Source organism: Homo sapiens, chromosome 10 (assembly GCF_000001405.40).
Source record: "Homo sapiens chromosome 10, GRCh38.p14 Primary Assembly".
In the NCBI taxonomy this organism is placed as follows: domain Eukaryota; kingdom Metazoa; phylum Chordata; class Mammalia; order Primates; family Hominidae; genus Homo; species Homo sapiens.
Window position 1 is genome coordinate 67,695,644 of NC_000010.11, and position 26,166 is coordinate 67,721,809.

The following is a 26,166-nucleotide window of genomic DNA, read 5'->3' on the forward strand; positions in this document are numbered from 1 at the left end:
CTTTTCCCCACTCCCATGCCAAAGCACAAGCATCCAGGCCATATCTTATCTTTTCCTGCACAGTATCCAATCGGCTTTTTATAGCCAGAAACTCTCTGAATGCAAAGCACGACCTTGGCTACCAGCTTCCCCTGGCAATAGTTCGAAAGTTATTTATAACTTTAAAATTAGCGTGAAAGCCTACGTTTCTCATAACTAGTCAAAACATTCCTATTTCATACAATAATGTGATCTTCCTCAGTTCAGAAGAAAACCCCAAATTTTAAACCTATGATTATAACTAAGACACAGGAATTCAATGCAGAAATGAGAATTCGCTGAAGTTCAGCTCTTCTCTTTACAAACTTGATTCTTACCTTTCTGTTTCTTCCTATAAAGTAAATGGGCTTAAAATTCAGCTCCCGTAGGGAATTTTCCAAAAAGAGCTTTGTGGGGGACGGAAAAAGGCTTCTTGGTGGTCACAGAGTTACAGAGTACCAAATTGAGAGGCAGATGACAGTGGGGCAGTCAATTTCGCTGAGCGTTGTTCACCCAGGATAAGAAAGAAAGGGGAGGTTACAAGCCAGGGTGGGTGGTATCTAATCCTGAACCGCTAGTCACTGACCTCACTGACAACTTGTTACTGAAAATACTTCGTTGAAAAAGGCCAGACACATACTTTGCCTAGAGACCTACAAACATAGCTCTGAATAAGTTTAGATTTGCATTTCTCTAGTTCCTTTCCAAAAGAAGAACCTCTTCTATCTAATTAAAGCCAAAGGCTGGAATTATTGAAAGTGAAAAATGATAAAGCAGGGAAAACAAGAGTCCAGGAAATCCTCACATCAAAAGATCAATTATGTAAAATTCAATGTCTTCAGAACCCTAGAGATGATGGCATCAAGGCCATGTGTCACATCTGAGATCGTATTTTTCTTCTTCTGAAATATTACCTGTCTCATCCCTTGTACCAAGCATCACACTCTCTCCTTCCAGTATTTATGAGGAACCACATCATTATCAGTAAAGAATCTAAACTGAAGATTTACCAAAAACTCAATAGGTTAACCCATTATTAAATTTAAGCCACCAAAAAAAAAAGTCTTCTCCACCAAAATTTATTTTTTCTCTCTATGACTATTCTTTTTCACATTTCCTTTTCCCTTTTTTTTGATATCTTCTCCCTCAATATCTTCACATCCACTGAAACAATCTTTATCATTTCATCAATTCCTTGACATCCCACTCGAACTTCTGTGGCATTTCCTTGGACATTACCATTTTTCCGACTTTCTTCTAATAGCTTCTAAAACAAGAGGTGCTAACTAAAATATGAACTACTTGTTTGAGTTTTGGCAGTCCTGTTCTTAAAAGGCTGAATTCAAAATAAAAAGAAAGCATTTATTTATTGGCTCTCCAGATACTCTTAGCACAAATTTCAGGGAGCCAAGAGGAAAGGCAGGGTCTGGGAACTGTCAGAGAATCAACTATGAAAGGAGTTCATTTTATATGATTTTCAGGATAGCCTTCAAAACAACTGTATTTTTATGTAGCTACCTTTAAAATGGGCATAATTGACAATATATTTATCTAAAGATTCTTAGTTGCTAACATGCTATCCTCCCCAGATTTTTTTAAAGCAGCTTTTTCCCCCTGGAGAATCTAGGAATAGCATCTTTTCACAGTGAAACAAAGAGTAAGTTTTATGTCTCTCAATCCATCTTTTCTTGAATAAAGAAATCACTTGACACTTGCAAAATAGCAGGTTTTGTTTTAGAGCTTTAATAATGAATGTTTTCCAAACCAGGACTGTTGAATTGAGCCCAAGATGAGATATCCAAATTCTATCATAAGCCTAGCTTGTCCTGCTGTGAAACCACAATAAGTTACTTACCTGCCCTGTACCTCTCCTTTCCACCTACAAAATGTAGATGAGAACTCTTATTCTTTTCATTTGCTTTTCAGAGGATATGTGAATTAAATGGATAAAAGCTGAAGAGCTTTAAATTACACTGAACTCTTCAGAGATGCAATACAGATAAAACCTTCTTACAGAATTTGGTGTTATCAAAACAATTAAATATTATAAATATCTGAAATGTAATTTTAAAGAGCTTTTATAGTGGGTTTTTTTTTAATTCCTTCATAAAAATATCTGCAGCCTCCAAGGTAGTATTTAGCTGAAGTATTTCCCACTATAGCCACAAGAGGTCCCCTCCTAGCAATTCAAATCACGTTGGATTTGTTGATCACAGGCCCCATGGTCCTCTGTATTTGTATCAGTTTGCTGACAGAAAACATATATCACCTATGTCAAATTTCCATAGCTAACTATAGGGTAGGAGACAAAAGCAGAGAAATCTGCCTTTCTCTGTGTGATCGCTGAGGCATGCTGGAGGCTAAATAGTTCCTGTAAACTACACAGCCCCTGCATTTTGCATCCTGGCCCTCTTCCAGATTTTCACAGTAGTTCTTTCTTGTCACCTTGCCCAGTCTTGTTCAGTATTTATTCTCCTTCCCTATTTACTTGTTTCCTTTCTTTATACTTTGCAAACTTTAAAATTTTGGCTCACATGCCTCTTGCAAGCAATCAAACATTGAGGGTAGAAGAGCTGGGGAAAAAAAAAAGAGAGAAAAAAGAGAGAGAATAAATCAGGGCCATTACTAGCAATTCTCCCGAGGTAATCAAAAGTAAGTTTTTTCGTTCTGGGCATCAGGACCGGCCCCAAACAAAGTCATTCAATTGGATGTATTGAGAAGCCCCTTGATGCAGAGCCCTGTGTTAGGCGCCAGCTAGAAGATTACAGGAGAGAAGGGAGGCCTCCAAAAAGAAGATAATTCTATCCCTGTCAGTAGCCTCTCTTGGAAAATAAATCCTCCAGGGTGCAATATGTTCTTTAGTCAGAATGGAGTAGTTTCTTCTTGTCAATAAAATCCCTTATAGAATGAAAATCACTTTTGCATGAACCATGAGTCCATTTCATCTGTCCATAATATCTCAAAATACTGGCAATTTCAGGTTCGGGCTTTAAAAATATGTAATTTTCTGAACAGCCATAATACCTTTCTAAAATGAGATTTAAAGCTAGGAATAATCCCTGTTTGTGATAATTAAAACCATTTTTTTCAAAAATATGTGATAAATACTTCTGGCACCTTGTCAGGTATTTTAGGTGAATCTAAATGAATCTGCCCCTGATTTGAAGGTCTTATGTACTATTAATACAAAAAAAAAAAATGTTTCTCACTCTCCCTTCCCAACCATCCTTATTATTAGCAGCTAACCAACTCTCCTGCCTCACTAAGAAGAACAGAAGCCATCTGGAAGATGTTTCACATCTTTCCATCATCAAATCTATAAACCCACTAACACCGAGCCTCATCTTCTCTACCCTCCCTCCTATTAAAATGCAAGAAGTCCTCTTGCTCTTACCAAAGGCTAATCTCTCTTGTGTGCTGGATCCCTTCTTCCCTCACCTTTTCAAGGACTCTGCTCCTTCACGATCACCTCACACACTGCATTATCACCCTTTCTCCAATGATCAGTGCAAAAATATGCCACAGGACTTCTACCTGAAAATTTTCAAACAAACAAAACATACTTTTACCCTACAACTCCCTGTGGTTGCTACTTAGTTCTCTGTGCCTTCATCATAATACTTCCCAAATGAGTTGTCCACCACCCCTATGTTTTTACCTCTCACTTCACAACCCACTAAGATGATTTATTTCCCCTTCACTCCCAAAAGGGTCATTTTTAAGTCTATCAACAACCTCCAGGTGGCCAAACCATTCTGTCACCTGAGGGGATAACACATCCTAACCTATGGCTTCAAATGAGATCTTTAAATGACATAGGATATTGAGTGGGACTTCTCCTGTTGCCAATAATTGGTGACTATGGCTCAAAATGAAAGACAATGAAGCCACCCAGGTACACGCTAAGGAATTTCCAGTATTTGAGGATAGACATTTCACTCAGGGATTACTAAGAAGCAGTTAAGAAAAGAGAAGGTGGAGCCAAGATGGCTGAATAGGAACAGCTCCGGTCTACAGCTCCCAGCATGAGCGACGCAGAAGACGGGTGATTTCTGCATTTCCATCTGAGGTACCAGGTTCATCTCACTAGGGAGTGCCAGACAGTGGGCGCAGGACAGTGGGTGCAGTGCACCGTTCGCGAGCCGAAGTCGGGCAAGCCACTGCCTCACTCGGAAAGAACAACGGGTCGGGGAGTTCCCTTTCCTAGTCAAAGAAAGGGGTGACAGACGGCACCTGGAAAATCGGGTCACTCCCACCCTAATACTGCGCTTTTCCGATGGGCTTAAAAGACAGCGCACCAGGAGATTATATCCCGCACATGCTTTGGAGGGTCCTATGCCCACAGAGTCTCACTGATTGCTAGCACAGCAGTCTGAGATCAAACTGCAAGGCAGCAGCGAGGCTGGGGGAGGGGCGCCCGCCATTGCCCAGGCTTGCTTAGGTAAACAAAGCAGCCAGGAAGCTCGAAATGGGTGGAGCCCACCACAGCTCAAGGAGGCCTGCCTGCCTCTGTAGGCTCCACCTCTGGGGGCAGGGCACAGACAAACAAAAAGACAGCAGTAACCTCTGCAGACTTAAGTGTACCTGTCTGACAGCTTTGAAGAGAGCAGTGGTTCTCCCAGCACGCAGCTGCAGATCTGAGAATGGGCAGACTGCCTCCTCAAGTGGGTCCCTGACCCCTTGACCCCCGAGCAGCCTAACTGGGAGGCACCCCCCAGTAGGGGCAGACTGACACCTCACACGGCCAGGTACTCCTCTGAGACAAAACTTGCAGAGGAACGATCAGACAGCAGCATTCACGGTTCACGAAAATCCGCTGTTTTGCAATCTCCGCTGCTGATATCCAGCAAACAGGGTCTGGAGTGGACCTCTAGCAAACTCCAACAGACCTGCAGCTGAGGGTCCTGAATGTTAGAAGGAAAACTAACAAACAGAAAGGACATCCACACCAAAAACCCATCTGTACATCACCATCATCAAACACCAAAAGTAGATAAAACCACAAAGATGGGGAAAAAACAGAGCAGAAAAACTGGAAACTCTAAAAAGCAGAGCGCCTCTCCTCCTCCAAAGGAACGCAGCTCCTCACCAGCAACGGAACAAAGCTGGACGGAGAATGACTTTGACGAGTTGAGAGAAGAAGGCTTCAGACGATCAAACTACTGCGAACTACAGGAGGAAATTCAAACCAAAGGCAAAGAAGTTGAAAACTTTGAAAAAAATTTAGACGAATATATAACTAGAATAACCAATACAGAGAAGTGCTTAAAGGAGCTGATGGAGCTGAAAGCCAAGGCTCGAGAACTACGTGAAGAACGCAGAAGCCTCAGGAGCCAATGCGATCAACTGGAAGAAAGTGTATCAGTGATGGAAGATGAAATGAATGAAATGAAGGGAGAAGGGAAGTTTAGAGAAGAAAGCATAAAAAGAAACGAAAAAGCCTCCAAGAAATATGGGACTATGTGAAAAGACCAAATCTACGTCTGATTGGTGTACCTGAAAGTGATGGGCAGAATGGAACCAAGTTGGAAAACACTCTGCAGGATATTATCCAGGAGACCTTCCCCAATCTAGCAAGGCAGGCCAACATTCAGACTCAGGAAATACAGAGAATGTCACAAAGATACTCCTCGAGAAGAGCAACACCAAGACACATAATTGTCAGATTCACCAAAGTTGAAATGAAGGAAAAAATGGTAAGGGCAGCCAGAGACAAAGGTCAGGTTACTCACAAAGGGAAGTCCATCAGACTAACAGTGGATGTCTTGGCAGAAACTCTACAAGCCAGAAGAGAGTGGAGGCCAATATTCAACACTCTTAAAGAAAAGAATTTTCAACCCAGAATTTCATATCCAGCCAAACTAAGCTTCATAAGTGAAGGAGAAATAAAATACTTTACAGACAAGCAAATGCTGAGAGATTTTGTCACCAACAGGCCTGCCCTAAAACAGCTCCTGAAGGAAGCACTAAACATGGAAAGGAAAAACCGGTACCAGCTGCTGCAAATTCATGCCAAACTGTAAAGACCATCGAGGCTAGGAAGAAACTGCATCAACTAATGAGCAAAATAACCAGCTAACATCATAATGACAGGATCAAATTCACACATAACAATATTAACTTTAAATGTAAATGGACTAAATGCTCCAATTAAAAGACACAGACTGGCAAATTGGATAAAGAGTCAAGACCCATCAGTGTGCTGTATTCAGGAAACCCATCTCACGAGCAGAGACACACATAGGCTCAAAATAAAAGGATGGAGGAAGATCTACCAAGCAAATGGAAAACAAAAAAAGGCAGGGGTTGCAATCTTAGTCTCTAATAAAACAGACTTTAAACCAACAAAGATCAAAAGAGACAAAGAAGGCCATTACATAATGGTAAAGGGATCAATTCAACAAGAAGAGCTAACTATCCTAAATATATATGCACCCAATGCAGGAGCACCCAGATTCATAAAGCAAGTCCTGAGTGACCTACAAAGAGACTTAGACTCCCATACAATAATAATGGGAGACTTTAACACCCCACTGTCAACATTAGACAGATCAACGAGACAGAAAGTTAACAAGGATACCCAGGAATTGAACTCAGCTCTGCACCAAGCGGACCTAATAGACATCTACAGAACTCTCCACCCCAAATCAACAGAATATACATTTTTTTCAGCACCACACCACACCTATTCAAAAATTGACCACATAGTTGGAAGTAAAGCTCTCCTCAGCAAATGTAAAAGATCAGACATTATAACAAACTGTCTCTCAGACCACAGTGCAATCAAACTACAACTCAAGATTAAGAAACTCATTCAAAACCGCTCAACTACATGGAAACTAAACAACCTGCTCCTGAATGACTACTGGGTACATAACGAAATGAAGGCAGAAATAAAGATGTTCTTTGAAACCAGTGAGAACAAAGACACAACATGCCAGAATCTCTGGGACACATTCAAAGCAGTGTGTAGAGGGAAATTTATAGCACTAAATGCCCACAAGAGAAAGCAGGAAACATTCAAAATTGACAACCTAACATCACAATTAAAAGAACTAGAAAAGCAAGACCAAACACATTCAAAAGCTAGCAGAAGGCAAGAAATAACTAAGATCAGAGCAGAACTGAAGGAAATAGAGACACAAAAACCCTTCAGAAAATTAATGAATCCAGGAGCTGGTTTTTTGAAAAGATCAACAAAACTGATAGACCGCTAGCAAGACTAAGAAAGAAGAAAAGAGAGAAGAATCAAATAGACGCAATAAAAAATGATAAAGGGGATATCACCACCGACCCCACAGAAATACAAACTACCATCAGAGAATACTACAAACACCTCTACGCAAATAAACTAGAAAATCTAGAAGAAACGGATAAATTCCTTGACATATACACCCTCCCAAGACTAAACCAGGAAGAAGTTGAATCTTTGAATAGACCAATAACAGGCTCTGAAATTGTGGCAACAATCAATAGCTTACCCACCAAAAAGAGTCCAGGACCAGAAGGATTCACAGCCGAATTCTACCAGAGGTACAAACAGGAGCTGGTACCATTCCTTCTGAAACTATTCCAATAAATAGAAAAAGAGGGAATCCTCCCTAACTCATTTTATGAGGCCAGCATCATCCTGATACCAAAGCCTGGCAGAGACACAACCAAAAAGAGAATTTTAGACCAATATCCTTGATGAACATTGATGCAAAAATCCTCAATAAAATACTGGCAAACCAAATCCAGCAGCACATCAAAAAGCTTATCCACCATGATCAAGTGGGCTTCATCCCTGGGATGCAAGGCTGGTTCAATATACGCAAATCAATAAATGTAATCCAGCATATAAACAGAACCAAAGACAAAAACCACATGATTATCTCAATAGATGCAGAAAAGGCTTTTGACAAAATTCAACAGCCCTTCATGCTAAAAACTCTCAATAAATTAGGTATCGATGGGATGTATCTCAAAATAATAAGAGCTATCTATGACAGACCCACAGCCAATATCATACTGAATGGGCAAACACTGGAAGCATTGCCTTTGAAAACTGGCACAAGACAGGGATGCCCTCTCTCACCACTGCTATTCAACATAGGGTTGGAAGTCCTGGCCAGGGCAATCAGGCAGGAGAAGGAAATAAAGGGTGTTCAATTAGGAAAAGAGGAAGTCAAATTGTCCCTGTTTGCAGATGACATGATTGTATATCTAGAAAACCCCACTGTCTCAGCCCTAAATCTCCTTAAGCTGATAAGCAACTTCAGCAAAGTCTCAGGATAGAAAATCAATGTACAAAAATCACAAGCATTCTTATACACCAATAACAGACAAACAGAGAGCCAAATCATGAGTGAACTCCCATTCACAATTGCTTCAAAGAGAATAAAATACCTAGGAATCCAACTTACAAGGGATGTGAAGGACCTCCTCAAGGAGAACTACAAACTACTGCTCAATGAAATAAAAGAGGATACAAACAAATGGAAGAACATTCCATGCTCATGGATAGGAAGAATCAACATCGTGAAAATGGCCATACTGCCCAAGGTAATTTATAGATTCAATGCCATCCCCATCAAGCTACCAATGACTTTCTTCACAGAATTGTAAAAAACTGCTTTAAAGTTTGTATGGAACCAAAAAAGAGCCCGCATCACCAAGTCAATCTTAAGCCAAAGGAACAAAGCTGGAGGCATCATGCTACCTGACTTCAAACTATACTACAAGGCTACAGTAACCAAAACAGCATGGTACTGGTACCAAAACAGAGATATAGATCAATGGAACAGACCAGAGCCCTCAGAAATAACGCCACATATCTACAACTATCTGATCTTTGACAAACCTGAGAAAAACAAGCAATGGGGAAAGGATTCCCTATTTAATAAACGGTGCTGGGAAAACTGGCTAGCCATTTGTAGAAAGCTGAAACTGGATCCCTTCCTTACACCTTATACAAAAATTAATTCAAGATGGATTAAAGACTTACATGTTAGACCTAAAACCATAAAAACCCTAGAAGAAAACCTAGGCATTACCATTCAGGACATAGGCATGGGCAAGGACTTCATGTCTAAAACACCAAAAGCAATGGCAACAAAAGCCAAAATTGACAAATGGGATCTAATTAAACTCAAGAGCTTCTGCACAGCAAAACAAACTACCATCAGAGTGAACAGGCAACCTACAAAATGGGAGAAAATTTTCGCAACCTACTCATCTGACAAAGGGCTAATATCCAGAATCTACAATGAACTCAAACAAATTTACAAGAAAAAAACAAACAACTCCATCAAAAAGTGGGCGAACGACATGAACAGACACTCCTCAAAAGAAGACACTTATGCAGCCAAAAAACACATGAAAAAATGGTCACCATCACTGGCCATCAGAGAAATGCAAATCAAAACCACAATGAGATACCATCTCACACCAGTTAGAATGGTGATCATTAAAAAGTCAGGAAACAACAGGTGCTGGAGAGGATGTGGAGAAATAGGAACACTTTTACACTGTTGGTGGGACTGTAAACTAGTTCAACCATTGTGGAAGACAGTGTGGCGATTCCTCAGGGATCTAGAACTACAAATACCATTTGACCCAGCCATCCCATTACTGGGTATATACCCAAAGGACTATAAATCATGCTGCTATAAAGACACATGCACACGTATGTTTATTGCGGCACTATTCACAAGAGCAAAGACTTGGAACCAACCCAAATGTCCAACAATGATAGACTGGATTAAGAAAATGTGGCACATATACACCATGGAATACTATGCAGCCATAAAAAATGATGAGTTCATGTCCTTTGTAGGGACATGGATGAAATTGGAAATCATCATTCTCAGTAAACTATCGCAAGAACAAAAAAACAAACACCGCATATTCTCACTCATAGGTGGGAATTGAACAATGAGAACACATGGACACAGGAGGGGGACCATCACACTCTGGGGACTGTTGTGGGGTGGGGGGAGGGGGGAGGGATAGCTTTAGGAGATATACCTAATGCTAAATGACGAGTTAATGGGTGCAGCACACCAGCATGGCACATGTATACATATGTAACTAACCTGCACATTGTGCACATGTACCCTAAAACTTAAAGTATAATAATAATAAAAAAAAAAAAGAAAGAAAGAAAAGGGCTACATGCTCTTCCTCTCGTATGCCCTCTCCTAGCGTAACCGACATACAGGTTCAGTTGCCCACAGCTTGCAGAGTCCAATTAACTAGAGCGAAGTCTGGTATAAAGAAGGAGACTTTTTATTCCAAAGCTGGCTTAGGGGAAGAAGTGCAGACTTCTGCCTTTAAGGGTGCTGCTTCACTTTTGAAGCAGAAAGCAGGTGCTTTTAAAAGAGGTCTTGGCATGAATGGCATGCAGGGGAGGGAAATGCAGATGGGGGTCTGCATAACTTGCTTTGATGCCTTATCTACTGGGCAGTCAAGCTGGTGACCACTAGTGTCTCTGTGGGCAGAACCATCTTGTAAAAATAGCCGAAACTCTCCAGTTAGGAAAGAGTTTTGTAGCAGGCATACTTTGAGGTGTAGATTAACTGTCTGTCATCTCTCAAAACAGTTTCCTGGTGGGAGAGAGTTGGGCTCTGGAGCTTGTAAGCACATAGTTGGATTAACTCACCCTGCAGGGATTGTCTGGTGAAGAGGAGGTAAAAGGTTATAATTGCAGTTCTAAAGAGCTAAGTAGGAAGTGAGAGAAAGGAGGAAAGAAAAAAGAAGAAAGAAAAAAAAATCTCTTAGAAAAATGGGGGTACTCAGTTATACCAGCCATAATATTAGAGGAAAAGTTAGTGGACTTGAAAAGTTAGGGGAACAAGGCCAACTACTTCCTCTCCTCTTGAAGATACCAGAGCAGAAGTGATGAAAAAAAACTCTTCCCCCATTCCAAGTCCCTTGGGAGGACATCTGGTCAGTGCTGGGGGAAAGGGAGGGAGATTTAAATTAGAATGAAATGGAAGTGTTAAATTGGACAAGCAGGCCTTTAAAGAACTAAAAATGGCAGGCACCCACCTGATGTGTCATTAAGGAATAGGAAAGGGAGAGGCAACAGAGCAAAGGGAGATACAGATAGAAGAAAACAAGCTAGTTCACTGAAACCAGTTACACATCCATATGCTAATGGTTCCCAACTTTGTATCCTAGTCCAGACCTCTCTCATGACCCCCACAGCAATATATCTAAACTGCCTTGTCCATCTGAATAAACAATACACACTTCAAACTTGATATGTCCCAAAAAGGAGCTCTTGATTTTTGTCTCTCAAACCTATTTTTCTCTGACATTCATATCCCAATAATTGGTACCATCACCCAATTACTGCATAAGCCAAAGCCTAGGAGTCATCCTTCATTCATTCTTTTCCCTCATTACCATCCAGAATTCCCACTGATCCTACTTACAAAATTTGTCTTTAACATGTCCACATTTCTCTAGCTCTCCTACCCTGACTATTCCAACATTGGTAGCCATTCTCTACATAGCTTCTAAGTGATTTTTCAGAACTTAGAAGTTTAGCTCATGTTATTCTCCTGCTTAAAATTATACAAAGGCTTCCTATTACTCATAGCAGAAAATCCAAATTCTTTACCAAATCTACAAGACCTTGATGATCTGGCTGTTGTCAACCTCTTTTACCTCAACTCACAACATTCTTTCCCCTTGACTCAAAACACTCTCCCCTCTAATATACTGACTCCAGATATACTCTCTATTTATAAAATAACCAACCATATTCCCCTAGGGCAATTGCACTTGCTGTTCCTTTGCCTGAAACCATTTGCTCCCAGCTATTTACACGTCTGGCTCATTTTCATCTTTGATATCATCCTTCACCTTCTCATAGAGGTCTTTCTTTACTATTTTTTATCTCACTGTTCCCAGTCACTTATCACGACCTTGCATTTTTTTAATTTGTTTAGTTATTCTGTCTTCACCATTGGGATAAAAGCTAGGGGCAGTGGCAGTGTCCGTTAGTGTATGGCATATGCAAATTAAGTATAATACAAGGTAAGCATCAATAGCTATAGGAATTAAAAGGAGGTAGGGATAGCTCCAGGAGGAGGGGATAATCAAGGAAAATTTCCTGGTGAAAGTTACATTCACCTTGATACGAAATGAAAGATGTCAGCTTCATCAGAGATTGGTATTCTATTAATTTTATTTCTCCAATAGCCTTCAAATCCATTGCCTTATCTCCATCCTTACAACTATTAATGCTACCTTACCTTACACAAACTAGAGTTATGCCTTGCTTGTTGTCTTTATGTATTATAGTTACCACCTAATTTCTCTCCCTACCTGTATTTCACTTTGTGTAAACCCAAATATCACATTTAGATGTCAGTCCGGGTGAATTTAGTGCTAATGTTTTCAGTCTCATTTTAACTATTTCAGAACAAACTATTGAAGTTGACACATTAGCTTTGTTGCCTTGGTAATAATAGAAGGGCTAAAATGAATGTTTTTCTCATTAATTTTTCTCATTTAATTTTCCCAAGGCACCATGCTTCGGTTTTGACAGCCCATCTTGCTGTTAGTCAATAACCTTAACAAGCAGAGTAATTACAGTCAATCATGTCTGCTTTAGTTCATTGATTACTTGGTTACTTCTTTCTCAACTCTTTAATGAGAATTCCCAGCCCACACCTTTCAGGTGACATTTCTTTTATCAATTAATCACCATCTCAATCCCTTGAATATATTCATAAACCAGACCATCTTGTATTGATGGTTCTAAAAACAACTTGCTTCTGCAGCTTTGAAAATCACAATCATTTTCAGAGACACGGAACACCTAGAATGAAATTAACATTTACTGTCATTGAACCTTCTTATTTCAAATTATTTGAACAGGGCTTTATTATACCACTTCTGAAGCATTAACACACTTAATTTTAAAAGTAATACAGCTTTTAAAATGTTAAAGAAATTGTCCTGTCTTTGCAATTCTAATCTCAAAAGTCCTGTCTCTGTTCTGAGAAAACAAAGACAGTAGATTTTCTGTTTGTGCAAATGTAAAGCAAGTCTCACCTAAATGTCATGAAGGAAATAATTGTAGTTGTTTCACTCAGAGAAATTCAGTGAGCTATGTCTCTGTAGAGTTTTATTGTTTCTTAAAGAGAACTGTTTATTTTTCCTGTATGAATTTACATAGTCCTCGAACCCATCAGAACTTATACTCTCTTTATAAAACAAATATTTTTGAATGTTCCTTTTTAATATCCTGAAATGAAATTTATAGTTACTAACTACAAACTGACTATACTAACTCATTAAAAATATATTTTATATATATCTTATATATATGTATGTATTCACATAAATTATATATTTGCATTTCATTATATAAATGATCAGGCATACTTGCACTGGAAAACAGTCACTCTTCCCCTTATGCACAGAATCACTATGAATGTGGCAGCTACAAATGTAGATAGATAAGGATGCACTGTTGTATTGTCAATTCAAATACCACAAGCAGCATTTCAGTAGTGACATGATTTTTCTATAATAGTGCACAACTCTTGATATAATACAGAACAAAATAAAAACAATCTTCCTTTGATATACCTAAATGGTTGCATTCCTAGAAATTCAGTATATATTAAAACTGCGCCAAAAAATACTACGTGTTTATGAGTAAAACCAGAGTTAGGTTCAAGGCTTAGAAAATTATAAGCAGAACATACATGAATGTCCACTGGGAAATTAGAAAGTTGCATGGGATGTGGGGACAATTCATTATAGAGGACAGTTCCACGCACTGTAAACCCTCTAAGTTTCTTTGGACTGACAAAGATTCCTTGCTTGACAAAACTGTAGCTGACCTTCTGAAACTTCATCTAGGCCCATTTATGTACTTCCTTGAAAAATCTAGTTTTCATAAACACCCCTGCTAAGTCAGTTTAGCAAGAATCACCCCTCCCCCCAACCCTCCCGCTCCATATCTGATCTCCCTTGATTGGGTTCCTCATCCACCACCATTCCCCAGGTGATATCTGATCACCTTGGCCTGTCTTCAGCAAGAATCTAGTTAGATTGGTTTACCCAGAACCCCTCTTACCCCTGATGTTTCTTCCTGGTAATTTTCAGTGACCCCACTCTGGTCACTGGCTATAAATTCCCACTTGCCCATGCTGTATTGAGAGTTGAGCACAATCTCTCTCCTCTACCACAAGACCTATTGCAGTGGTCCCTATACTGTGATAGTCCTAAATAAATTCTTCTTTATCAATGCTTTAACAAATATCACTTGTTAATAGTTTTCTTTTTAACAGGCCCCAGCAAATTAAATGCCAGGTGTGTCCCACAACTACCGTGACAACCAAAACTGCCCCTGCGGTGGAAGGAAGAAAAGAAACTTGAGAAGAAGCATTGCTATAGAACACTGCATGTTTACAAGGGCCCCAAGACTAAAATGAAAAAGGATAGGAAGAAAGGGAGGAAGAGGAGGGGGACAGAGAGGAAGTAGGAAGGGAGAGCGATAAAGGAAGGAAAGAAGATAAATTCTGTAAACAGCCCCACCCAGACTGGCATAGCACAACCTGGAATGGACTATTTAAGTCCCAAACATGATGTTAAGAGAATAATTCAGATTTCTAGGAATGCACTAAAGACAGCTATAGCAATTGCCTGGACAAGAGGAGGAGATGGGAGGTACTCACAGGACCAGACCATATCCTATAGTGAAGGAATGAGATTAATCCTGAAGAGAATGGATATCCCCATTGTTACTTATTCTGAGGGAGAAGTTAATTCTGGGACAGGAATGTGAGCTAGAAACCCAGGATTTTAGCCAAAAAGGGGAGAACGTCCCTTTTCTCTCTGAAGCTCCACAGTTTTGGGGGCCTAGCCTCCAGATGGAAGAGACAAACTAGAGAGTATCACACAGTGACATATCCACAACAGTGGTAGATAGAAACAATTCAGAAGAACACTTTTCAAGGATACCTTGAAAATGGGCCAGAACTTGGACCAAAGGGTACTGGGTGTAGACACAGTTACTGTTGTAAACCATTATCTGTATTGTCTTTTCTTTATCTTGCCTCTTTGTGGAAAGTCTGGTTAAAATGCTATTCTATGGAAAATTAGGGAAATAATCTGTGTCCTGACTGGGATAGAATAGTGACCTGGAGAACAGGATCCAAAGCAGCAGGGCAAGGCATCCAAAACAGAAAAACATAGTGGACCTTGATATAGTTTGGCTGTGTCCCCACCCAAATCTCATCTTGAATTCCCACGTGTTGTGGGAGGGACCAAGTGGGAGGTATTTGAATCATGGGGGCAGGTCTTTCCAGTGCTGTTCTCATGACAGTGAATAAGTCTAATGAGATCTGATGGTTTTAAAAAGGGGAGTTTCCCTGCACAAGTTCTTTTCTCTTGTCTGCCACCATGTGAGACATGCCTTATCTTCCACCATGATTGTGAGGCCTCCCAGCCATGTGGAACTGTAAGTCCAATAAACCTCTTTCTTTTGCAAATTGCCCAGTATTGGGTATGTCTTTATCAGCAGTGTGAAAGTGGACTAATAAAGTAAATTGGTACCAGTAGAGTGGCGCATTACTGAAAAGATACCCAAAAATGCGGAAGCGACTGGAACTGGGTAATAGGCAGAGGTTGGAACAGTTTGGAGGGCTCAGAAGAAGAAAGAAAAATAAGGGAAAGTTTGGAACTCCCTAGAAACTTGTTGAATGACTTTGACCAAAATGATGATAATGATATGGACAATGAAATCCAGTCTGAGGTGGTCTCAGATGGAGATAGGAACTGGAGAAAAGGTGGCTCTTGTTATGTTTTAGCAAAGAAACTGGAGGCATTTTGCCCCTTCCCTAAAGATGTGTGGAACTTTGAACTTGAGAGAGATGATTTAGGGTATCTGGCAGAAGAAATTTATTTATTTATTTATTTATTTTTTATTATACTTTAAGTTTTAGGGTACATGTGCACATTGTGCAGGTTAGTTACATATGTATACATGTGCCATGCTGGTGCGCTGCACCCACTAACTCGTCATCTAGCATTAGGTATATCTCCCGATGCTATCCCTCCCCCCTCCCCCCACCCCACAACTGTCCCCAGAGTGTGATGTTCCCCTTCCTGTGTCCATGTGATCTCGTTGTTCAATTCCCACCTATGAGTGAGAATATGCGGTGTTTGGTTTTTTGTTCTTGCGATAGTTTACTGAGAATGATGATTTCCAATTTCATCCATGTCCCTACAAAGGACATGAACTCATCATTTTTTATGGCTGCATAGTATTCCAAACTAGTTCAACCATTGTGGAAGTCAGTGTGGAGATTCCTCAGGGATCTAGAACTGGAAATACCATTTGACCCAGCCATCCCATTACTGGGTATATACCCAAAGGACTATAAATCATGCTGCTATAAAGACACATGCACACGTATGTTTATTGCAGCATTATTCACAATAGCAAAGACTTGGAACCAACCCAAATGTCCAACAATGATAGACTGGATTAAGAAATTTCTAAGCATCAAAGCTTTCAATATATGACTTGGGTACTGTTAAAGGCATTCAGTTTTAAAAGGGAAGCAAAGTAAAAAAGCTTGGAAAATTTTCAGCCTGACAATATGATAGAAAAGAAAATCCCATTTTCTGAGGAGAAATCCAAGCTGGCTGCAGAAATTTGCATAAATAATGAGGAGCCAAGTGTTAAGCCCCAAGACAATGGGGAATATGTCTCCAAGGCATACCAGAGGTCTCCACGGCAGCCCCTCCCATCACAGGCCCAGAGGCCTAGGGGGAAAGAATGGTTTCATGGGCTGGGCCCAGGGTCCCCGTGCTGTGTGCAGCCTAGGGACTTGGTGCCTTGTGTCCCAGCTGCTCCAGCTGTGGCTGAAAGGGGCCAATATAGAGGTCCGGCCATGGCTTCAGAGGGTGCAAGCCCCAAGCCTTGGCAGCTTCCACATGGTGTTGAGCCTGCAAGTGCAGAGAAGTCAAGAATTGAGGTTTGGGACCTGACAAAAACAAGCAATGGGGAAACGATTCCCTATTTAATAAATGTGTTGGGAAAACTGGCTAGCCATATGCAGAAAACTGAAACTGGACCTCGTCCTTACACCTTATACAAAAACTAACTCAAGATGGATTAAAGACTTAAATGTAAAGCCTAAAACCATAAAAATCCTAGAAAAAAACCTAGGCAATACCATTCAGGACATAGGCATGAGCAAAGACCTCATGACCAAAACACCAGAAGCCACTGGAACAAAAGCCAAAATTGATAAATTGATCTAATTAAACTAAAGAGCTTCTGCACAGCAAAAGAAACTATCTTCAGAGGGAACAGGCAACCTACAGAATAGGAGAACATTTTTGCAATCTATCCATCTGACAAAGGGCTAATATCCAGAATCTACAAGGAACTTAAAGAAATTTACAAGAAAAAAACAAACAACCCCATCAAAAAGTGGATGAAGGATATGAACAGACACTTCTCAAAAGAAGATATTTATGCAGCCAACAAACAAATGAAAAAAAGCTCATCATCACTGGTCATTAGAGAAATGCAAATCAAAACCACGATGAGATAACATCTCATGCCAGTTAGAGTGGCCATCATTAAAAAGTCAGGAAACAACAGATGCTGGAGAGCATGTGGAGAAATAGGAATGCTTTAACACTGTTGGTGGGAATGTAAATTTGTTCAACCATTGTGGAAGACAGTGTGGTGATTCCTCAAGGATCTAGAACCAGAAATACCACTTGACCCAGCAATCCCATTACTGGGTATATACCCAAAGGATTATAAGTCACTCTACTATAAAGACACATGCACACATATGTTTATTGCAGCGCTATTCACAATAGCAAAGACTTGGAACCAACCCAGATGCCCATCAATGATAGACTGGATAAAGAAAATGTGGCACATATACACCATGGAATACTATGTAGCCATAAAAAAAGAATGAGTTCATGTCCTTTGCAGGGACATGGATGAAGCTGGAAACCATCATTGTCAGCAAACTAACACAGGAACAGAAAACCAAATACCGCATGTTCTCACTCATAAGTGGGAGTTGAACAATGAAAATAGATGGACATAGGGAAGGGAACATCACATGCTGGTGCCTGTCGGGGGATGGGAGGAAAGGGGATGGAGAGCATTAAGACAAATACCTAACGCATGAGGGACTTAAAACCTAGATGACGGGTTGATAGGTGTAGCAAACCACCATGGCACATGTATACCTATGTAACAAACCCTCATGTTCTGCACATGTATCCCAGAACTTAAAGTAAAATTAAAAAAAAAAAAGAATTGAGGTTTGGGAACCTCTGCCTAGATTTCAGAAGATGTACGGAAATGCCTAGATGTCCACCAGGCAGAAGTTTGCTGCAGGGGCAGGGCTCTCATGGAGAACCTCTGCTAGGGCAGTGAAGAAGGGAAATGTGGGACTGGAGCCCCCACACAGAGTCCCTACTGGGACACCATGTAGTGAAGCTGTGAGAAGAGGGCCACCATCCTCCAGACCCCAGAATGGTAGATCCACCAACAGCTTGCACCATCCATGCACCTGGAAAAGCCACAGACACTCAATGCCAGACCATGAAAGAAGCCAGGAAGGAAGTGTACCCTGCAAAGCCACAGGGGCAGAGCTGCCCAAGACTATGGGAACCTACCTCTTGCATCACTGTGACCTGGATGCAAGACATGGAGTCAAAGGAGATCATTCTGGAGCTTTAAGATTTGACTGCCTTGCTGGCTTTCAGACTTGTGTGGGGCCTGTAGCCCCTTTGTTTTGGCCAATTTCTCCCATTTGGAATGGCTATATTTACCCAATGCCTGTACGCCCATTGTAGCTAGGGAGTAACTAACTTGCTTTTGATTTTACAGGCTCATAGGTAGAAGGCACTTGCCTTATCTCAGATGAGACTTTTGACTGTGGACTTTTGAGTTAATGCTAAAATGAGTTAAGACTTCCAGGGACTGTTGAGAAGGCATGACTGGTTTTGAAATGTGAGGACATGAGGTTTGAGAGGGGCCAGGGGTGAAATAATATGGTTTGACTGTGTCCCCACCCAAATCTCATCTTGAATTCCCACATATTGTGGGAGGGATTTGGTGAGAGGTAACTGAATCATGGGGACAGGTCTTTCCCATGCTATTCTCAGTGAATAAGTCTCATGAGATATGATGGTTTTAAAAAGGAAAGTTTCCCTGCACAAGTTCTCTTCTCTTATCTGCCACCATGTGAGACATGTCTTTCACCTTCCACCATGATTGTGAGGCCTCCCCAGCCATATGGAGCTGGAAGTACAATAAACCTTTCTTTTGTAAATTGCCCAGTTTCTGGTATGTCTTGATCAGCAGCATGAAAGCAGACTAATACAGACCTCTTCCTGAGCACAATTGAGAGAGCTCTTGGGATGACTCAGAAATAGCCAAGAAACACTTTAAAGGGCTAATTTCTGGCACTTGGACAATAGAAACTTGAGCTATTGGAATCTACAAATTTAAAAGAATATATAACCTTATTTTAGAAACCAGATGTTGAATCTCAGACATTTGAGTCACACATAGTTTTCAATAAATGGTAGCTATTTTTAATCATGTTAATGACTTGGATAATGGTATATAGTTCATATTGCATTTTACAAAAGCTCCACCTCAATTTTAGCAATGAACAGTGCAAGAACAAGAAGGGATCAAGTAATAATAAGGGGCCATGCAGGAATAAGACTAGGAGAACTGACCAAATGAGAAGAACTGACCAAATGATAGGGCTCAACCCCCAGGAGACCTTGAGAGCAGCTAATCAAAATGGCTTGGCACATAAGAGGACATAGAAACTTTTATTTAATTAGGAACAGTTACAATGTCTGAGAACCGTCTATCTAGTAGGACACTGTAGCAGGAATCCCTTCTCTGAACTGTTACTCTATGTTACGGTGTGATGATTCCCTATTTCAGGTGGTTCATCTGGAAACTGGCAAGAATTAGACAAGGAGTTAGAGCCCTAGCCAAGTGCACTGGCAGAAGCCTAGTTACATAGATTGAATAAACATTGAGAATTAGAACAGGGGCTGTGATTCAAAAGATATTTTAGCCCCATCAGATATGGGACTAAAATTACAGGTTCCATCTGAAAGACCAATCTGCCTGGAACTGGCTGGGCTGTATATTGCAAACATTAGTATCTACACAGGTGAAAAAGTTTGGGGCAGGTATTTTTTTTAAATGCAGATTTAGTTCTTCTCAAATAATACATGCAAATGCTTACAATGTTCTGAGTTGTAAGATCCCTTTTCATATACCCTTAAGAGCGGGTAACTTAATTGACTGTAGCTAATCAGCTGGATAAGCAGGACCTTTACTATAAGGTACTCTGGATATGAACGATCCTTGTTTGGGAATGCTACTCTTTTTACTAATACAAAAATAAGAGTTTAAGGTTTCATTATTAAAATCAATTCATGTTATCAAATATAGGTATATTAACAATTATCATGTGTAAACCAAGAATTTATGCCTCAGAAGTTATGCAACAGCAAATAAATATCAGAGATTTTCAGGTATCCCTAAAAAGGGCCTAATACCACTGATTCAAAAATAAGGAAAAACTAGACCATGATCTTTTCTAATTCTGATTGTTGATAATGAATTTAAATAAGTTACAACTTTTTTTTAATACTTTAAGTTCTAGGATACATGTGCAGAACATGCAGGTTTGTTACATAGGTATATACGTGCCATGGTGGTTTGCTGTACCCACCAACCCATTATCTACATTAGGTATTTCTCCTAATGCTCTCCCTCCCCTAGCCTCCACCCCTCAACAGGCCCCAGTGTGTGATGTTCCCCTCCCTGTGTCCATGTATTCTCATTGTTCAATTCCTACTTATGAGTGAGAACATGCGGTGTTCGGTTTTCTGTTCCTGTGTTAGTTTGCTGACAACGATGGTTTCCAGCTTCATCCATGTACCTGCAAAAAACATGAACCCATCCTTTTTTATGGCTGCATAGTATTCCATGGTGTGTATGTGCCACATTTTCTTTATCCAGTCTATCATTGATGGGCATTTGGGTTAGTTCCAAGTCTTTGCTATTGTGAATAGCGCTGCAATAAACATATGTGTGCATGTGTGTTTAGAGTAGAATGACTTATAATCCTTTAGGTATATACCCAGTAAAAGGATTGCTGGGTCAAATGGTATTTCTGGTTCTAGATCCTTGAGGAATCGCCACACTGTCTTCCACAATGGTTGAACTAATTTACACTCCCACCAACAGTGTAAAGGCATTCCTATTTCTCCACATCCACTCCAGCATCTGTTGTTTCCTGATTTTTTAATGATCGCCAGTCTAACTGGTATGAGACGGTATCTCATCATGGTTCTTATTTGTATTTCTCTAATGACCAGTGATGATGAGCTTTTTTTCACATGTTTGTTGGCCAATAAATATCTTCTTTTGAGAAGTATCTGTTCATATCCTTTGCCCACTTTTTGATGGGGTTGTTTTTTTCTTGTAAATTTCTTTAAGTTCCTTGTAGATTCTGGATATTAGCCCTTTGTCAGATGGATAGATTGCAAAAATGTTCTCCTATTCTGTAGGTTGCCTCTTCCCTCTGAAGATAGTTTCTTTTGCTGTGCAGAAGCTCTTTGGTTTAATTAGGTCTCATTTGTCTATTTTGGCTTCTGTTGCCATTGCTTTTGGAGTTTTAGTCACGAAGACTTTGCTCATGCCTATGTCCTGAATGGTATTGCCTAGGTTTTTTTCTAGGGTTTTTATGGTTTTCAGTTTTATATTTAAGCCTTTAATCCATCTTGAGTTAGTTTTTGTATAAGATGTAAGGACAAGGTCCAGTTTCAGTTTTCTGCATATAGCTAGCCAGTTTTCCCAACACCATTTATTAAATAGGGAATCCTTTCCCCATTGCTTGTTTTTGTCGGGTTTGTCAATGATCAGATGGTTGTAGATTTGTGGCATTATTTCTGAGGCCTCTGTTCTGTTCCATTGGTCTATATATCTGTTTTGGTACCAGTACCACGTTGCTTTGGTTACTGTAGCCTTGTAGTATAGTTTGAAGTCGGGTAGCATGATGCCTCCAGCTTTGTTCTTTTTGCTTAGGATTGTCTAGGCTATACGGGCTCTTTTTTGGTTCCATATGAAATTTAAAGTAGTTTTTTCTAATTCTATGAAGAAAGTCAGTGGTAGCTTGATGGGGATAGCATTAAATCTATAAATTACTTTGGGCAGTATGGCCATTTTCACAATATTCATTCTTCCAACCCACGAGCACAGAATGTTTTTCCATTTGTTTCTGTCCTCTTTTATTTCCTTGAGCAATGGTTTATAGTTCTCCTTGAAGAGGTCCTCACACATCCCTTGTAAGTTGTATTCCTAGATATTTCATTCAATTTGTAGCAATTGTAAAAGGGAGTTCACTCATGATTTGGCTTTCTGTCTGTTATTGGTGTATAGAAATGCTTGTGATTTTTGCACATTAATTTTGCATCCTGAGACTTTGCTGAAGTTGCTTATCAGCTTAAGGAGATTTGGAGCTGAGAAAATGGGGTTTTCTAAATATTCAATCATGCCATCTGTAAACAGAGACAATTTGACTTCCTCTTTTCCTATTTGAATACAATTTATTTCTCCTCTTGCCTGATTGCCCTGGTCAGAACACCCAATACTATGTTGAGTAGTGGTGAGAGAGGGCATTCTTGTCTTGTGCCAGTTTTCAAAGGAAATGCTTCCAGCTTTTGCCCATTCAGAATGATACTGACTGTGGGTTTATCATAAATTTACAATTTTGAGATACGTTCCATCAATACCTAGTTTACTGAAGGTTTTTAGCATGAAGGGGTGTTAAATTTTATCGAAGGCCTTTTCTGCATCTGTTGAGATAATCAAGTGGTTTTTGTAGTTGGTTCTGTTTATGGGATGGATTACATTTATTGATTTGCATATGTTGAACGAGCCTTGCATCCCAGGGATGAAGCCCACTTGATTGTGGTAGATAAGCTTTTTGATGTGCTGCTGGATTTGGTTTGCATTTTATTGAGGGTTTTCGCATCGATGTTCATCAGGGATGTTGGCCTGAAATTTTCTTTTTTTGTTGTATCTCTGCCAGGTTTAGGTATCAGGATGATGCTGGCCTCATAAAATGAGTTAGGGAGGAGTGCCTCTTTGTCTATTGTTTGGAATAGTTTCAGAAGGAATGGTACCAGCTCCTCTTTGTACCTCTGGTAGAATTCGGCTGTGAAGACATCTGGTCCTGGGCTTTTTTTGGTTGGTAGGCTATTAATTACTGCCTCAATTTCAGAACTTGTTATTGGTCTATTCAGGGATTCAACTTCTTCCTGGTTTAGTCTTGGGAGGGTGTATGTGTCCAGGAATTTATCCATTTCTTCTAGATTTTCTAGTTTATTTGCATAGAGGTGTTTACAGTATTCTCTGATGGTAGTTTGTATTTCTGTGGGATCAGTGGTGATAACCCCTTTATAATTTTTTATTTTTTCTATTTCATTCTTCTCTCTGTTCTTCTTTATTAGTCTGGCTAGTGGTCTATTTTGTTAATCTTTAAAAAAAAACAGTTCCTGGATTCATTGATTTTTGGAAGGGTTTTTTGTGTCTCTATCTCCTTCAGTTCTTCTCTGATCTTAGTTATTTCTTGTCTTCTGCTAGCTTTTGAATTTGTTTGCTCTTGCTTCTCTAGTTCTTTTAATTGTGATGTTAGGGTATCAATTTTAGGTCTTTCCTGCTTTCTTTTGTGGGCCTTTAGTGCTATAAATTTCCCTCTAACCACTGCTTTGAATGTGTCCCAGAGATTCTGGTACTTTGTGTCTTTGTTCTTATTGGTTTCAAAGAACTTATTGATTTCTGCCTTAATTTTGTTATTTACCCAGTAGTCATTCAGGAGCAGGTTGTTCAGTTTCCATGTAGTTGAGCGGTTTTGAGTGAGTTTCTTAATCCTGAGTTCTAATTTGATTGCACTGTGGTCTGAGAGACTGTTTGTTATGATTTCCATTCTTTTGCATTTGCTGAGGAGTGCTTTACTTCCAATTTTGTGGTCAACTTTAGAATAAGTGCTATGTGGTGCTGAGAAGAATGTATATTCTGTTGATTTGGGGTGGAGAGTTCTGCAGATGTCTATTAGGTCCACTTGGTCCAGAGCTGAGTTCAAGTCCTGAATATCCTTGTTAATTTTCTGTCTCGTTGATCTGTGTAATATTGACAGTGGGGTGTTAGAGTCTCACAGTATTATTGTGTGGAAATCTAAGTCTCTTTGTAGGTCTCTAAGAACTTGCTTTATGAATCTAGGTGCTCCTGTGTTGTTTGCATATACATTCGGAATAGTTAGCTCTTCTTGTTGCATTGATCCCTTCACCATTATGTAATGCCCTTCTTTGTCTTTTTCGTATTTTTATTGGTTTAAAGTCTGTTTTATCAGAGACTAGGATTGCAACCCCTGCTTTTTTTTTTTTTTTTTTTTTTTGCTGTCCAATTGCTTGGTAAATATTCCTCCATCCCTTTATTTTGAGCCTATGTGTGTCTTTGCACGTGAAATGGGTCTCCTGAATGTATTCAGGTGTATTCACACTGATTGGTCTTGACTGTTTATCCAATTTGCCAGTCTATGAGGCTATTGAGTCTATTGAGTCCAATTGCCAGTTAATTGAGGCGTTTAGCCCATTTACATTTAAGGTTAATATTGTTATGTGTGAATTTGATTCTGTCATTATGATGCTAGCTGGTTATTTTGCCTGTTACTGATGCAGTTTCTTCATAATGTCGATGGCCTTTACTATTTGGTATGTTTTTACAGTAGCTGGTACCAGTTGTTCCTTTCCATATTTAGTGCTTCCTTCAGGAGCTCTTGTTACGCAGCCCTGGTGGTGACAAAATCTCTCAGCATTTGCTTGTCTGTAAAGGATTTTATTTCTCCTTCGCTTATGAAGCTTAGGTTGGCTAGATATGAAATTCTGAGTTGAAAATTCTTTTCTTTAAGAATGTTAGCTGGGCATGGTGGCTCATGCCTGTAATCCCAGCACTTTGAGAGGCTGAAGTGGGCAGATCACCTGAGGTCGGGAGTTCAAGACCAGCCTCAACAACATGGTGAAACCCTGTCTCTACTAAAAATACAAAAATTAGCCGTGTGTAGTGGCCAGCACCTGTAGTCCCAGCTACACGGGAGGCTGAGGCAGGAGAATTGCTTGAATCTGGGAGGCGGAGGTTGCAGTGAGCCGAGATCATGCCACTGCAATCCAGCCTGGGTCACAGAGTGAGACTCCGTCTCAGAAAAAAAAATGTTGAATATTGGCCCCCACTCTTCTGGCTTGAAAGGTTTCTGCAGAGAGATCTACTGTTAGTCTGATGGGCTTCCCTTTGTGGGTAACCCAACCTTTCTCTCAGGCTGCCCTTAATTTCTTTTCTTTCATTTCAACCTTGGTAAATCTGATGACTGTGTATTATGTGTCTTAGGGTTGCTCTTCTCAAGGAGTATCTCTGTGGTGTTCTCTGTATTTCCTCAATTTGAATGTTGGCCTGTCTTGCTAGGCTGGGGAAGTTCTTCTGGATAATATCCTGAAGAGTGTTTTCCAGCTTGGTTCCATTCTCTCCATCAGTTTCAGGTACACCAATCAAACTTAGGTTTGGTCTTTTCACATGGTCCCATATTTCTGGAGGCTTTGTTCATTCCTTTTCATTTTTTTTTCTTTAATCTTGTCTTCACGCTTTATTTCATTAAGTTGATCTTCAATCTCTGATATCCTTTCTTCCACTTGATTGATTTGGCTATTGATACTTACGTATGCTTCACAACGTTCTCGTGCTGTGTTTTTCAGCTCCATCAGGTCATTTATGTTCTTCTCTAAACTGCTTATTCTAGTTAGCAATTCCTCTAACCTTTTTTCAATGTTCTTAGCTTCCTTGCATTTGGTTAGAACATGCTCCTTTAGCTTGAAGGAGTTTGCTATTACCCACCTTCTGAAGCCTACTTCTGTCAATTCATGAAACCCATTCTCCATCAAGTTTTGTTCTTTTGCTGGCGAGGAGTTGTGATCCTTTGGAGGAGAAGAGGCCTTCTGGTTTTTGGAATTTTCAGCCTTTTTGTGCTGGTTTTCCTCATCTTCATGGATTTATCTACCTTTGGC

General features: G+C 40.0%; 1 protein-coding gene across 4 annotated transcripts in view, besides 1 other annotated feature; it reads right to left on the minus strand.

The window, feature by feature from the left end:
- CTNNA3 (catenin alpha 3) overlaps window positions 1–26,166 on the minus strand; it is a 1,851,072-nt gene that overhangs the window by 1,783,121 nt on the left and 41,785 nt on the right. For 3 of the 4 annotated variants that reach the window (NM_013266.4, XM_017016152.2, XM_017016158.3), the window contains exon 1: window positions 357–552. The exons of the other annotated variant lie outside the window; for it this stretch is intronic. The gene's annotated coding sequence lies outside the window, so the exon portion shown is untranslated. Of the gene's footprint in view, window positions 1–356; window positions 553–26,166 lie in introns of those variants that run through there. 4 annotated transcript variants of the gene reach the window in all.
- Window positions 2,252–2,301: an enhancer, noted in NCBI's record as "active region_3449". NCBI's record gives its function as "activates an Ori minimal core promoter by ATAC-STARR-seq in GM12878 lymphoblastoid cells {active_cell/tissue: GM12878}" and the evidence as "EXISTENCE:reporter gene assay evidence [ECO:0000049][PMID:35858748]".